This window comes from Homo sapiens, chromosome 4 (assembly GCF_000001405.40).
Source record: "Homo sapiens chromosome 4, GRCh38.p14 Primary Assembly".
Classification (NCBI taxonomy): domain Eukaryota; kingdom Metazoa; phylum Chordata; class Mammalia; order Primates; family Hominidae; genus Homo; species Homo sapiens.
Genome location: NC_000004.12, coordinates 114,355,303 through 114,368,856, shown reverse-complemented (window position 1 = coordinate 114,368,856; position 13,554 = coordinate 114,355,303). Strand labels below are relative to the sequence as shown.

The 13,554-nt window shown below is 37.6% G+C and overlaps 1 long non-coding RNA gene across 2 annotated transcripts in view; it reads left to right on the top strand.

Moving 5' to 3' along the window:
• The first annotated feature begins 3,943 nt into the window (after positions 1 to 3,943).
• The window catches only part of LOC105377378 (uncharacterized), a 30,113-nt gene continuing 20,502 nt past the window's right edge, over positions 3,944 to 13,554 (top strand). For both annotated transcript variants that reach the window (XR_939090.3, XR_939091.3), the window contains exon 1: positions 3,944 to 4,049. This is a non-coding gene — a long non-coding RNA (uncharacterized LOC105377378). The remainder of the gene's footprint in view (positions 4,050 to 13,554) is intronic.

Below are 13,554 nucleotides of genomic sequence, written 5' to 3'. Positions count from 1 at the left end.
AGAGTGTTGCTGTTTCTGTGTCTATAGTTCTGCTGTCTAAATACAGTAGCCACTATCTGTATGTGGCCATCTAACATACAATATGAAGACTATAGGTAATACAACTGTACTGTATATGGGACTCATGCTAAATGAGTAGGTTTTAGCTGCTCTTGCTACACACACACACAAAAGGGTTACTGTGAGGTGAAGGACATGTTAATTTGCCTCACCGCAGTAACTTTTACTATCTATATGTATTCTATAACATGTTATAGAATACACACAATACACACAATAAAAACTATTTTAAAAACATAAATTTAAATTTATTACAAGTTTATTTCTCAATCAAGTTAGCCACAGTTCAAGTGCTGAATAGTTACACATGGCTAGTGACTAACATATCGGATAGTGTAGATATTAAACATTTTCATTATCTCAGAAAGTTTCATTGAATTGTGTTGATGAATAGTATGATTTTCCAGCTGGGCACAGTGGCTCACGCCTGTAATCTCAGCATTTTGGGAGGCCAAGGCGGGTGGATCACTTGAGGTCAGGAGTTTGAGAACAGCCTGGCCAACAAGGTGAAACTTCGTCTCTATTAAAAATACAAAAATTAGCCAAAAGTGGTGGGGCACACCTGTAGTCCAAGATACTCTGGAGACTGAGGCAGGAGAATCGCTTGAACCCGGGAGGCGGAGGTTGCTGTGAGCTGAGATTACGCCACTACACTCCAGCCTGGGCAACAGAGGGAGACTCCATTTAAAAAAAAAAAAAAAAAAAAAAAAAAAAACTATGATTTTCCTTTTCTCTTCTTTTTCCTCTATTGCTAAGGTACACAGTGAAATGTAAGCCATTATTGTAACATTTGGTAATGGCATATCCCAATATTTAGCTAGTATAGGGAAGGAAACAATTTCGTTCCCTTTCCTATTAAGATTCTTAGTTCAGACATGTTCCTGAAAATAAAAGTCAGATTAACAAAAGAAAAATAAGCATAAGCTTATTAACATGTGCTGTTCTATCACACAGGAGAGGCCTCAGTTCAAAAGTATTTCTCTCTCAAAGCTGTGGCTCAGGGACCTTGCTTGAATTTAATAGTATTTTAACAAAGAGCCATAAATCCTATGTAGAGAAAAAAGAGAGAGAAGTTTCAGTCTTTTAAATGGTGGGAAAATGTGGGGAGATAGTAAAATCCATTCCCAAGTTCCTCTGGTGTCTGCTGGTGCCTTCCCTGGGCTGATAAGCAAGTGCTGTCTCCAATAAGCAAGGACTGATGTCCTGTCATCAGGCAGAGAGAGCTGAGGCAGAGTCTTGCCCTTTGTTTTCAGTCTCTTTAACATAACAATCTTCAATATTTTTTCCTTTACTAACCAAAATGAAAGATAATTTAGTGAACACAACTGCATGCTTTTTGTTTTCATCATGTTTCTCTGACTTAAAATACAACGCATTCAATCTTAATTCAGTCCCCACGTGTACCTAAGTCATGACCATACCTGTGAGAAAAGGAAATCCAATTGCTTATTCTCTCCATGTGCTGCGATATTATTTCTTGGTGTTACAGACTTTTAGAGAATGATAACTTACAATTTAGGAAGTAACGCATAATGAAACAAAAGTGCATACCCCTCCCTTGCCAGGGGATAGGAGAGCACAGAGACCTACATTTGCTCACAGAAGCCTCAAGATAGTTTCATAAATTAGAGATCCTTGCACTAAGTTCAGGCCTGCTTGGTGAATTCCTAATGGATATTAAATTTAAATACCTCCCAACTTCTCAGCATGTGGCCATCAGGACAAACATAAGATCTCTGTTATTATTTCTTTTCTCTTTCCCAGATAATTACACTTTAAAAATGTAATCAAGATTAGGACTTGCCTTCATTTGGGCAGTAATGTGACTTAGTTAAATAGAAAATCTTAGTACAATTATTTAAAACATGGTCTGGGTATCTGAAGACAATAAATCTAACTGATCTGAGGCAACATTATTAATATAATGGACACTGGACATAAAAGGTTCTAGTTTGAGTGCCAACCTATTCCAGCCACAGGGGAGTTGAGATGTTTTTGAAGTCTCACAGTAAGCAAAATGCCACCAACACTTTGCAGAATTTTAGAGAGTGGTTGAAAAAGATAAACATACTAGAGGTTTAGCTATGGATTAGTTGTGACTTGGACCTTGTGTGCAACTAATCAGCAATCAGAAATTTAAGATTTCTGACAATATTTGGAAACAGTGCCATGTGATAATCACTAAGTGGAATTATAGGCATGTATCAGAGGCAGTGGCCAAGCTGTTGAATTTTATGGTAAACATGCATTCTTGATTTCCTGACTCAGTCCTCTGCTGCCGTATATGAATCTGTAATGGTCAGATCATGTTTCCTTAATAATTTTTGGAAGTTTAATTAACCAAAATACCATAACTTTAACGTCTCAAATAGAGGACATAGGACTATCATTGACAAATAACCTTAAATATTGTGCATTTAATATTTAATATATGGTTTATAAGGCTTGTATGGATGAGTTACTTGTATATGGTAAAGAACATATAGCGAACCCATCCCTGCAACTCACAATTACTGCTGCTGCTGATAGGTAATGGGGGGAGGAAAAAAAGAGATAGCTTAAGGAAGCTACCTCAGGTAAATTTGTGGCAGAAGCTCTCTCAGACTGTTTAACGAGTTCACATCACTTCATGACAATGCTTGAGATGTTGCTAAGTAAAGCTTCATTGGGAAAAAATAATAATAGGAAATCTTAGAAGAAAAAAGGGCCAGTACAATAAACTAGTAAAAAATTACTTCAACTAGATAGTTCTGTACAAAGACCTTGACCATATCTTACTGTGGCACCAATGGAATTGTTGAATATAAAGGGTGAGAAGTTAGTTGGAAAACTATTTTTCAGCAGGAGCATTTTATTTATTCTGTAGTTCAGAACAGGTAGGTTCAGGGGTATCACTTAGAAGAAATCCACCAGGAGTTGCTGTAGGAATGCTTTGTGTATAAGAAATCTGTTATTTAGCAGGCTTGGAGACACTTTAAGTAAGCTAAGGGAATCAAAGGATAGCAGGGAACAAATTGTCTTGTTCTATAAATGTCCCACATTTAAGCACCTTAATCACTTAGCCTTAAAAAAAAAAAAAAGCATGACTTATTTATTGGGAGAAGAGCAGGCCAATTTCCAGGATTCCCCTTATACCATAATTTAAACATGTAAAAGTCATAAATTAGAAAAACAAATTATTAAGTCGAATATCCTTCTCTGGACAAATGTATCTTCATAATTACAAAATTAAACATATGTATAAAATTATTATTTTTATAATATTAAACATTGGCACAAAAATCAAAGACAACTAAATTGCCCACCTTTTGATATTCTATTGATGGAGCAGCAGTATTTGGATGAGTAATAAATGAAACATTCACAATTTATAAGTCATTTTATATTTACCCTATCAAATTTATTTCTTGTCTTACATACAGGAAGTCAATATTCTGTAATAATCAACATTTTGAGGTAACTTGTTGCCCCTGTGGTAGGCAGGATTTGAAGATGGCCCCCTAAGATTCTTAGCCCTTAGTGTACCTCCCACTCCTAGCTAATTGATACAATCCAACACTGGTTTAGGCATTGCTGTAAAGAAATTTTACAAATGTAATAAGATTCCAAATCAGTTGATCTTAAAGTAAGAAAATTATTTTAAGGGAATGACTTAATCACATCATCACTTTAAGAAGCACAGAAGTTTCTCTGGCTGGTTGAAGAGGAAGTCCGAGACTCAAAGCATGAAAAGAATTCATGGCACCATTGCTGGCTTCAAGAGGGATGAGACCATATGAAAGGAATTCAGGCTATCTCTGGAGCTGAGCACAACCCCCAGGTCACATCCAACAAAGAAACAGGGACCTCAGTCCTATAAACACCACCAACAGAATGAACTTGGAAGCAGATTTTCCCCCAGAGCATCCAGATAAGAACTCAGTCCACTCAACATCTTCAGCTTTGTGATATTCCAGGCATATTGTGCTGAACTTCTGACTTACAGAACTGTGAGTTAATAAATGAGTGTTGTTTTAAGCCACTATATAACTCATTTTGTATTTTCTGATGTTACTCAGTTATTCATGAAAGTAGTCAGTTTTTTTCTTGTAAATTTGTTTGAGTTCTTTTCATTATGGATATTAGCCCTTTGTCAGATGAGTAGATTGCAAAAATTTTCTCCCATTCTGTAGGTTGCCTGTTCACTCTGATGGTAGTTTCCTTTGCTATGCAGAAGCTCTTTAGCTTAATTAGATCCCATTTGTCAATTTTGGCTTTTGTTGCCATTGCTTTTTGTGTTTTAGACATGAAGTCCTTGCCCATGCCTATGTCCTGAATGGTAATGCCTAGGTTTTCTTCTAGGGTTTTTGTGGTTTTAGGTCTAACATTAAAGTCTTAAATCCACCTGGAATTAATTTTTGTATAAGGTGTAAGGAAGGGATCCAGTTTCAGCTTTCAAGACATATGCACACGTATGTTTACTGCGGCACTACTCACAATAGCAAAGACTTGGAACCAACCCAAATGTCCAACAACGATAGACTGGATTAAGAAAATGTGGCACATATACACCATGGAATACAATGCAGCCATAAAAAATGATGAGTTCATGTCTTTTGTAGGGACATGGATGAAGCTGGAAACCATCATTCTCAGCAAACTATCACAAGGACAAAAAACCAAACACCGCATGTTCTCACTCATAGTTGGGAATTGAACAATGAGGACACTTGGACACAGGAAGGGGAACATCACACACCGGGACCTGTTGTGGGGTGGGGGGACGGGGAAGGGATAGCATTAGGAGATATACCTAATGTAAATGACGAGTTAATGGGTGCAGCACACCAACATGGCACATGTATACATATGTAACAAACCTGCACGTTGTGCACATGTACCCTAGAACTTAAAGTATAATAATATATATATATAAAATATATAAAAAGAAAGTAGACAGGTGTTCCACATTTTTGCAATTGCAAATACCTTTTGAACCACTTGTTGCAAATTAAAACAACAAGTGGTTCGAAATTTATTTGCAATTGCAAAACTGTGGAACCAACCCAAATGCCCATCAATCAATGAGTTGATAAAGAAACTGTGGTATGTATACATGGTGGGATACTACTCAGCCATAAAAAGGAATGAATTAATGGCTTTCACAGCAACCTGGATGGAATTGGAGAGTATTATTCTAAGTGAAGTAACTAAGGAATGGAAAACCAAACATCATATGTTCTCACTCATAAGCGGGAGCTAAGCTATGAGGATGCAAAGGCATAAGAATGACATAGTGGACTTTGGGGACTCAAGGGGAAAGAGTGGAAAGGGGGTAAGGGATAAAAGACTACAAATTGGGTACAGTGTATAGTGCTTGGATGATGGGTGCACCAAAATCTCACAAATCACTACTAAATAACTTACTCATGTAACCAAGTACCACCTGTTCCCCCAAAATCTATGGAAATAAAAAATTACTAAAATTCTTTGTTTATAAGACTTTTAAACAAAGAAAATTATTTTACCAGCTGTTTACATTCTTAATTTTTTAAAGAATTTTTGTGACATATTTCAGCAGAAAAATTATATAACAAGTGAAGTATTTCCTTCTGTGTGTATCCATTTACTATCCCTGTGTTTTTGAAAAGCATTTACTTACTTAATTTTTGTTAAAATTCAACTTCATTTTGAAGAGTAAGATTAAGTTTGGTTATTTTATTAAAAATACTTTCTTGGAGTATACCACTGGCAGCCAGTGGTCATCACAGAAAAAGTAAGCAAATTGAAACAACTTTTTTTGTAAAATAAAATTTTTTGATTTATCTTTAACAATTTTGCCATGAAATGACTAGTAAATGAAGATTTTTCTGATCATCTACATTTTGTTGTGAAATATTATAGTATTTTACTCTTTAAGTAAATGAATCAATAAGTCCTTTTAATTGGGCATGTATAAAGTGTAAAGTGTTCAAAAATGATAGAAGCAAATACACACAAAAAAGGACATGCAATAAGGGAATATAAATGATTTTTTCAAGAAATGATACTGGGTTTACTAAGCAGTCTTATAGAAAAAACAAAGCTTGACTATACAAAATAAAAATCCCAGGTAGCTATAAATGATAAATGTGAAATGAAAACCAGAAGGCTTTTTGATAATATAAAGAGAGAATAACTTCACCATCATGAAAGTAGACAAAAATTTGTTGAACAGACAACAAATTATACAAGACTTTCTATGTCTTGTATAATTTCATAAAATTCCTTGACATTCAAAATCTTGCCAACTTCTTTACTGAAAATAATTTAATGCAGTGGTTTAAAGCAAAGGTTTTGAAATAATACCTTTATTCAAATCTCAATTCCACCACTTGCCGGTGGTTAACTTTTGACAAATTCCTTAGCTTCTCTGGGTTTTTGTCTCCCTATCTTTAAAATGGAAGTAAAGGTGTACTCTTCCAGTAGTCATTACCAGGACTAAATGAGAGCATCCATTTAAAGCACTTGGTACAGTACCTGGCGTATGTTGAGTTTTCCATAAGTATTGTTCTCTGTGGTGTGGGTTTAATGCTGTCGTTTACTTTTGTTTGTGACAAGGGACACTGAAAGGTTAACTTTGGATCATGTGTTCTATTTAATGATATTTGAGTTGTTATATTCAGCTGTAGAGACATAATAACACTCCATACAAACACAATGAAAATCATAATTTCCTTCAGAAAATTGGAAGAAGTGAATGCCTTATTCAAGAAATAGAAGTTGCTGTAAAACCAGCTTACCTCTCAGTTTTTTCCTCCATGAAGAAGACATAGCCGACAAAAATGCATTCCAGAGAAATCAGCATTACCATTTTTTTCCAAAAAGGTATTATACCTAGTCATGAAGCAATAGCTCACCGGGGAGGCATTGCTGTTGCTTCTTGTGTTTTTGCCACTCTTCTGTAAAGTATGCGGAGTGTATCCCTCAAAATCTGCACTATTAATAAAAAAATAAAAGGAAAAAGGAAAACACTTGTGCTTGAGCCCAGCTTGTGGGTGGGAAGGGGGGCAACAGAGGAGAAGACAAAGATGGGACATAGGGGTTTGTTCTGTAAATTTAAAAAAAAAGCTGACAATTGATAGAGAACTAGTTCAGGTTTTCGTACAGAGCCAAGAGTGATGGGTTTATCCTCAACAACACTGATTGTTTCCCAGAACTGGAGGGTTTACCTCATCTTAATATCTCTATATATTTATTTCTCCCAGACCACTCGATTTTCTCTGCCAGATATTAATTCATTTCTCCACCCTTGTTCAAGACTCCTGGTCACTGAAACCACCCCAATACAACACTAGGCTTCTATTCTTTTCTCCATGATCCTTTTGCTTTCACTTTAATCAGCAGGAGAGTTCTTACTCTCCTCTTACTCATTACAAAACAAAATAACTCCACGTGTTGTTTGTTTTGAGTTTCAAAATTAAAAGATTTAGAGGCTTCCAAGTTAAGGTAAACAATAGAAAAGAATGGAAAAGAGAAGATGGGTGTTCACCTGGGATGACAGGATATGATACGTTCAGAGTGATTTTTTTATCCTTATACAAGCCATGTGTGGTTTCAAAAGGTAGCCTTTTCAAGTGTGTTAAGTTTTTTTCTCTTTTTACTGCATGGTGTTATTGAAGCAGAGAAGTTTGTTTCCAATATGCTTTTTAAGTACATCAATGCAAGAAGAATAATGTCTCATGATCAGATTAACACACCATCATTCCTTTCTTGAAATAATTCACAGCCACTTCAAATGACTGGATCAGTTACTGAAGTATTGGAAAGTTTTTTGAGTTCACCATTATACTTACAGTGAAAGGTTTATTGTGGGTAGCGATAGAGGTAGGAGATGCCTGTTTTTTCTTCTGCTCCCCACTTACTCTCCTTTTAGTTTTCCACTATCAAATTGTCATTTGGAAAAGATAAGCATTTCCCTCAATTTGAAGCCAACCCTTCAAATCCAGCCATTCTGGAAATATTCAACAGTGTTATTATTTACCACCTAGTGATGTTCCATGCATCACACTTCTATATGCAACAATCTTCAGATTATAATACATTGTGGGAATGCTTCCAAATGTTTACACGTGAAAATGATTATCTATCCTGGTTCAACTACAAATACTATTCTCATCTAGAGTGATTTTAATGATGTTACTCAGTTAAGGCAGAGACCAAGACAGCACACTCAGAGTATATTAAGAGTTAGCAAAAATGTCTCATTTTTTTTGGGAGGTGGAGCAAGATGACCAAATAGCTTTCATTGATCATCCTTCCTACAGGAACACCCAAATGAGCAACTATCCACACACAAAAAAGCATATGAGATGTAAAAATCAGGTGAGGACTTACAGTACAATGTTTCAACCTGTTATCATTAAAAGAGGCCCTGAAGAGGATAGAAAAGACAGTCTTGATTTACCGATGCCACCCCCCCATTCCCTAGCATTGCCACATGACATGGAGAAAAAATCTGTATGCTTGGGAAAGGGAGAGCACAGAGACTGCCGGACTTTATATTGAAATTCAGTGCTTCCTATCACAGTGGAAAACAACAGTGGGCAGAATTCAGCCAGTGCCTATGAACGAAGCATTTAGACCATCCATAGCCAGAGGAAAATTACTCATCTCAGTTGTTGGAACCTGAGATCTGGCAAGCCTTGCCACCATGGGCTAAAGGGCTCTGGAGTTCTAAAGAAACTTAAAAGGGAATTGAAGGAACAAGGAATGCAATCCCTGGTGCTGTGCTACACTGAGAGCCTGTGGACTTGGGGAGCATGTGAATAAGTGAGGCACCAGCCTGGGTGGCCAAGGGAATCCTTGTGCCATCCCTACCCCAACCCCAAGCAGAGTAGCTCACAGCTCTTGGAGAGATTCCTTCCCTCCACTTGAGGAGAGAAGAGGGAAGAGTAAAGAGGACTTTGTCTTGCAACTTGGCCAACAGCTTAACCACAATATGATCGAGCAGAAGGCAGATGCCTAAGGCCCCATTCCAGTCCCTCACTCCTGGACAATGCTTCTAGACACACCCCTGTCCAGGAGGGAACCTACTGACTTGAAGGGAATAAAGCAGTCCTGGCAGAATTTATTGCCTGCTGACTAAAGAGCCCCTGGCCCCTGAATAATTAGCAGTGGTACCCAGGCAGTACTCACCCTGGGCCTTGGGTGAGAATCAGAGACATTCTGGCTTCAGGTGTAACCCATCAGATTCCCAGCTAGAAGGAGGGATTATTTCTGCTTGAGAAAGGGAGAGGGAAGAGTAAAAGGGACTTTGTCTTCCAGCCCAGGTACCAGCTCAGCCACAGTTGGGTAGATCACCAAGTGGGCTCTTAGGATCCTGGGTCCCAGGCCTTGGGTTGTGGACAGCATTGCTGAACCTGCTCTGGATCAGAGGGAAGCCCACTGCCCTGAAGGAAGAGTGGCAGGCCTAGCAGCATTCACCACAAGCTGACTAAAGAGCCCTTGGGCCTTGAATGAATGTTGCGGTAGCCAGGTAGTACTCCCCATAGGACTGTGTTGGTGGTGGACACAGGGAGATACTCCTTTGCTTGGGAAAAAATGAGGGAAGAGTGAGAAGGACTTAGTCTTGTGATTTGGATGCCAGCTCAGCCACAGTAGATGGGGCACCATGTAGATTTCTAAGGTTTCTGATTCATGGCCTTAGCTCCTGGATGGCATCTCTGGACCTGCTCAGACCAGAGGGAACTTGTCACCCTGAAGGGAAGGATGCAGTCCTTGCTAGCTTCCCCATTGCTGTTTGTAGAGCTCTAGGACCTTGAGGAAACATAGGCAGTAGCCAAGCAGTGGTTAGTGCAGGACTTGGGCAAGATTAAGTGCTGTGCTGGCTTCAGGTCTGACCCAGCACAGTCCCAGTGGTGTTTGCCACAGGGGTGCTTGTGTCTGTCTGGTAATTGGATAATTCTTCTGGATCTTATTTAAGATTACAAAGGTGGTACCTCTACAAGTCTGCAACAGCCACAGTGTTACTGGCCTTGGGGTGTCCCTTAAAGAAGATAAGGCTGCAGTGATCTAAAAGTTAGATCATAACACTCAAGTCCCTTTAAACAGCCAGAAAGCCTTCCTAAGAAGGACCAGTACAAATAAGGCCAGACCGCAAAACTACAATAAACACCCAATTCTTCAATGCCCAGACACTGAAAAACAAGCATCAAGACCATCCAGAAAACATGACTTTGCCAAATGAAATAAGAAACCAGGGATCGATCCTTTCAGACAGATAATTCAAAATAGCTGTTTTTGTTTTTGTTCTGAGATAGAGTTTTGCTCTTGTTGCCCAGGCCGGAGTGCAATGGCGTGATCCCGGCTCACTGCAACCTCTGCCTCCCGGGTTCAAGCAATTCTCCTGCCTCAGCCTTCCAGGTAGCTGGGATTACAGGAGCCCGCCACCACACCCGGATAATTTTATATTTTTGGTAGAGATGGGGTTTCTCCATGATGGTCAGGCTGGTCTCGAACTCCTGACCTCAGGTTATTTGCCCACCTCGGCCTCCCAAAGTATTAGGATTATAGGCGTGAGCTACTGTGCCCAGTCTAAAATAGCTGTGTTGAGGAAACTTAGATTAAGTCAAGGTAACACAGAGAAGAAATTCAGAATCCTATCAGATATATTTAACCAAGAAATTTAAAAAATTAGTAATAATCAAGCAGAAATTTTGTAGTTGAAAATTGCAATTGACATATTGAAGAATGCATCAGAGTCTCTTAATTATAGATTTGATAAAACAATCATTAGGTTTGAATACAGGCTATTTAAAAAATACACGGAAGAGACAAAAGAAAAAAAGAATAAAGAAGAATGAAGCATGCATACATACGAGATTTAGAAAATAGCCTCAAAAAGCCAAACCTGAAAGTTATTGAAGGAGGTTGAGAGAGTCCAGGGTATAAAGTTTATAGAAAAAGATAATAACACAGAACTCCCCAAACCTAGAGGAAGATATCAATATTTAAGTATAAGGAGGTTATAGGACACCAAGAAGATTTAATACACACAAGACTACCTGAAGATATTTAATAATTAATCTCCTAAAGGTTAAGGATAAAGAAAGTATCCTAAAAGCAGCAATTGAAAAGGCATAAATAACATACAATGGAGCTTTAATACATCTGGCCGCAGAATTCTCAGTGGAAACCTTACATTCCAGGAGAGAGTAGAATGCCACATTTAAAGTGCTGAAGGAAAAAAAGTTTTTATCCTAGAATAATATATCTGGAGAAAATATTCTTCAAACATGAATGAGAAAAAATGTCTTTCCCAGGCAAACAAAAGCTGTGGGATTTCATCAATGCAAGACCTGCCTTACAAAAAGTGCTAAAGGGAGTACCTCAATTTGAAAGAAAATAACATTAATGAGCAATACAGCATCATCTGAAGGTATAAAAGTCACTGGTAATAGTAAGTACACCAAAACCCATAGATTATTGTAACACTGTAATTGTGATAAGTAAACTACTCATGTCTTGAATAGAAAGACTAACAGATAAACCAATCAAAAATATTAGCTACAACAACTTTTCAAGACATAGAAAGTACAATACAACAAATAGAAACAACAAAAAGTTAAAAAGCCGGGGGAGGAATTAAAGTGTAGAGTTTTCATTAGTTTTCTCTTTGTTAATTTACATAATCAGTGTTGTCAGAAGTTTTAAATAATAGGTTATAAGACATGATTTGAAAGCCTTATGGTAACCTCAAATCAAAAAACACACAAGAGATACAAAAAAATAAAAAGCAAGAAATCAAAACTTACAACCAGAGAAAATCACCTTTGTAAAAAAGAAGACAGGAAGGAAGTAAAGAAGGAAGAGAAGACCACAAAACAACCTTCCAAAAATAGCAAAATGGCAGGAGTAAGCTCTTACTTATCATTAACACCATTGAATATAAATAGACTAAACACTTCAATCAAAAGACATAGGGTGACTGAATTTATTGAAAAAAAAAAACAAGACTCAACAATCTGTTTCCAACAAGAAACACACTTCATTTATAAAGACACAGATAGACAAAAAGTAAAAAAAATGGAAAAAGATATTCCATGTCAATGGAAATCAAAGAGCAGGAGTAGCTATACTTATATCTGACAAAATAGATCTCAAGAAAAAAGCTACAAAAAGAGACAAATTTCAGTATATAATAATAAAGATGGCAACTCAGCAGGAGTATATAACCATTGTAATATATATGCACTCAACACTGGAGTATCCAGATATATAAAGCAAATATTTTTAGAGCTAAAGGGAGAGATAGGCCCCAATAAAATAACAGCATCCTGCTTATAATACAACACCCCACTTTCAACATTGGACAGATCTTCTAGACAGAGAATCAACAAAGAAACATCGAACTTAATCTGCACTTTAGATCAAACGGACCTAATATGTAATTACATCCAAAGGCTGCAGAATACACAATCTTGTCATCATAACACATAGATCATTCTCAAGGATAGAGCATATGTTAGGCCACAAAACAAGTCTTAGGAAAATTTAAGAACTGAAATTATATTAAGTACCTCCTCTGACCGCAATGGAGTAAGACCATGAATCAATAACAAGAGGAATTTTGGAAACTATACAAACACATAGAAATTAAACAATTGATATGGTTTGGCTGTGTCTCCATTCAAATCTCAACTTGAATTGTATTTTCCAGAATTTTCATGTGTTGTGGGAGGGACCCAGGCGGAGGTAATTGAATCATAGGGGCCGGTCTTTTCCATGCTATTCTCATGATAGCGAATAAGTCTCATGAGATCTCATAGATTTATCAGGGGTTTCTGCTTTTGCTTCTTCCACATTTTTCTCTTGCCACTGCCATGTAAGAAGTGTCTTTTACCTCCCGCCATGATTCTGAGGCCTCTCCATCCATGTGGAACTGTAAGTCCAATTAAGCCTCTTTTTCTTCCCAGTCTCAGTTATGTCTTTATCAGCAGCGTGAAAACAAACTAATACAGTAAATTGGTACCAGCAGATTGGGTCATTGCTGAAAAGATAACCCCAAATGTGGAAATGACTTTGGAACTGGGTAACAGGCAGAGGCTGGAACAGTTTGGATGGCTTAAAAGAGGAAAATGTGGGAAAGCTTGGAACTTCCTAGAGACTTGTTGAATGGCTTTGCCCAAAATGCTGATAGCAATGTAGACAATAAGGTCCAGGCTGACATGATCTCAGATGGAGATGAGGAACTTGTTGGGAACTGGAGCAAAGGTGACTCTTTTTATATTTTAGCAAAGAGACTGGAGGCATTTTGCCCCTGCCCTAGAGATTTGTGAAACTTTGAACTTGAGAAAGATTATTTAGGGTATCTGGTGGAATAAATTTCTAAGCAGCAAAGCATTCAAGAGGTAATTTGGGTGCTGTTAAAGGCATTCTGTTTTATAAGAAAAGCAGAGCATGAAAGTTTGGAAAATTTGCAGCCTGACTGCGATAGAAAAGAAAAACCCATTTTCTGAGGAGAAATTCAAGCTG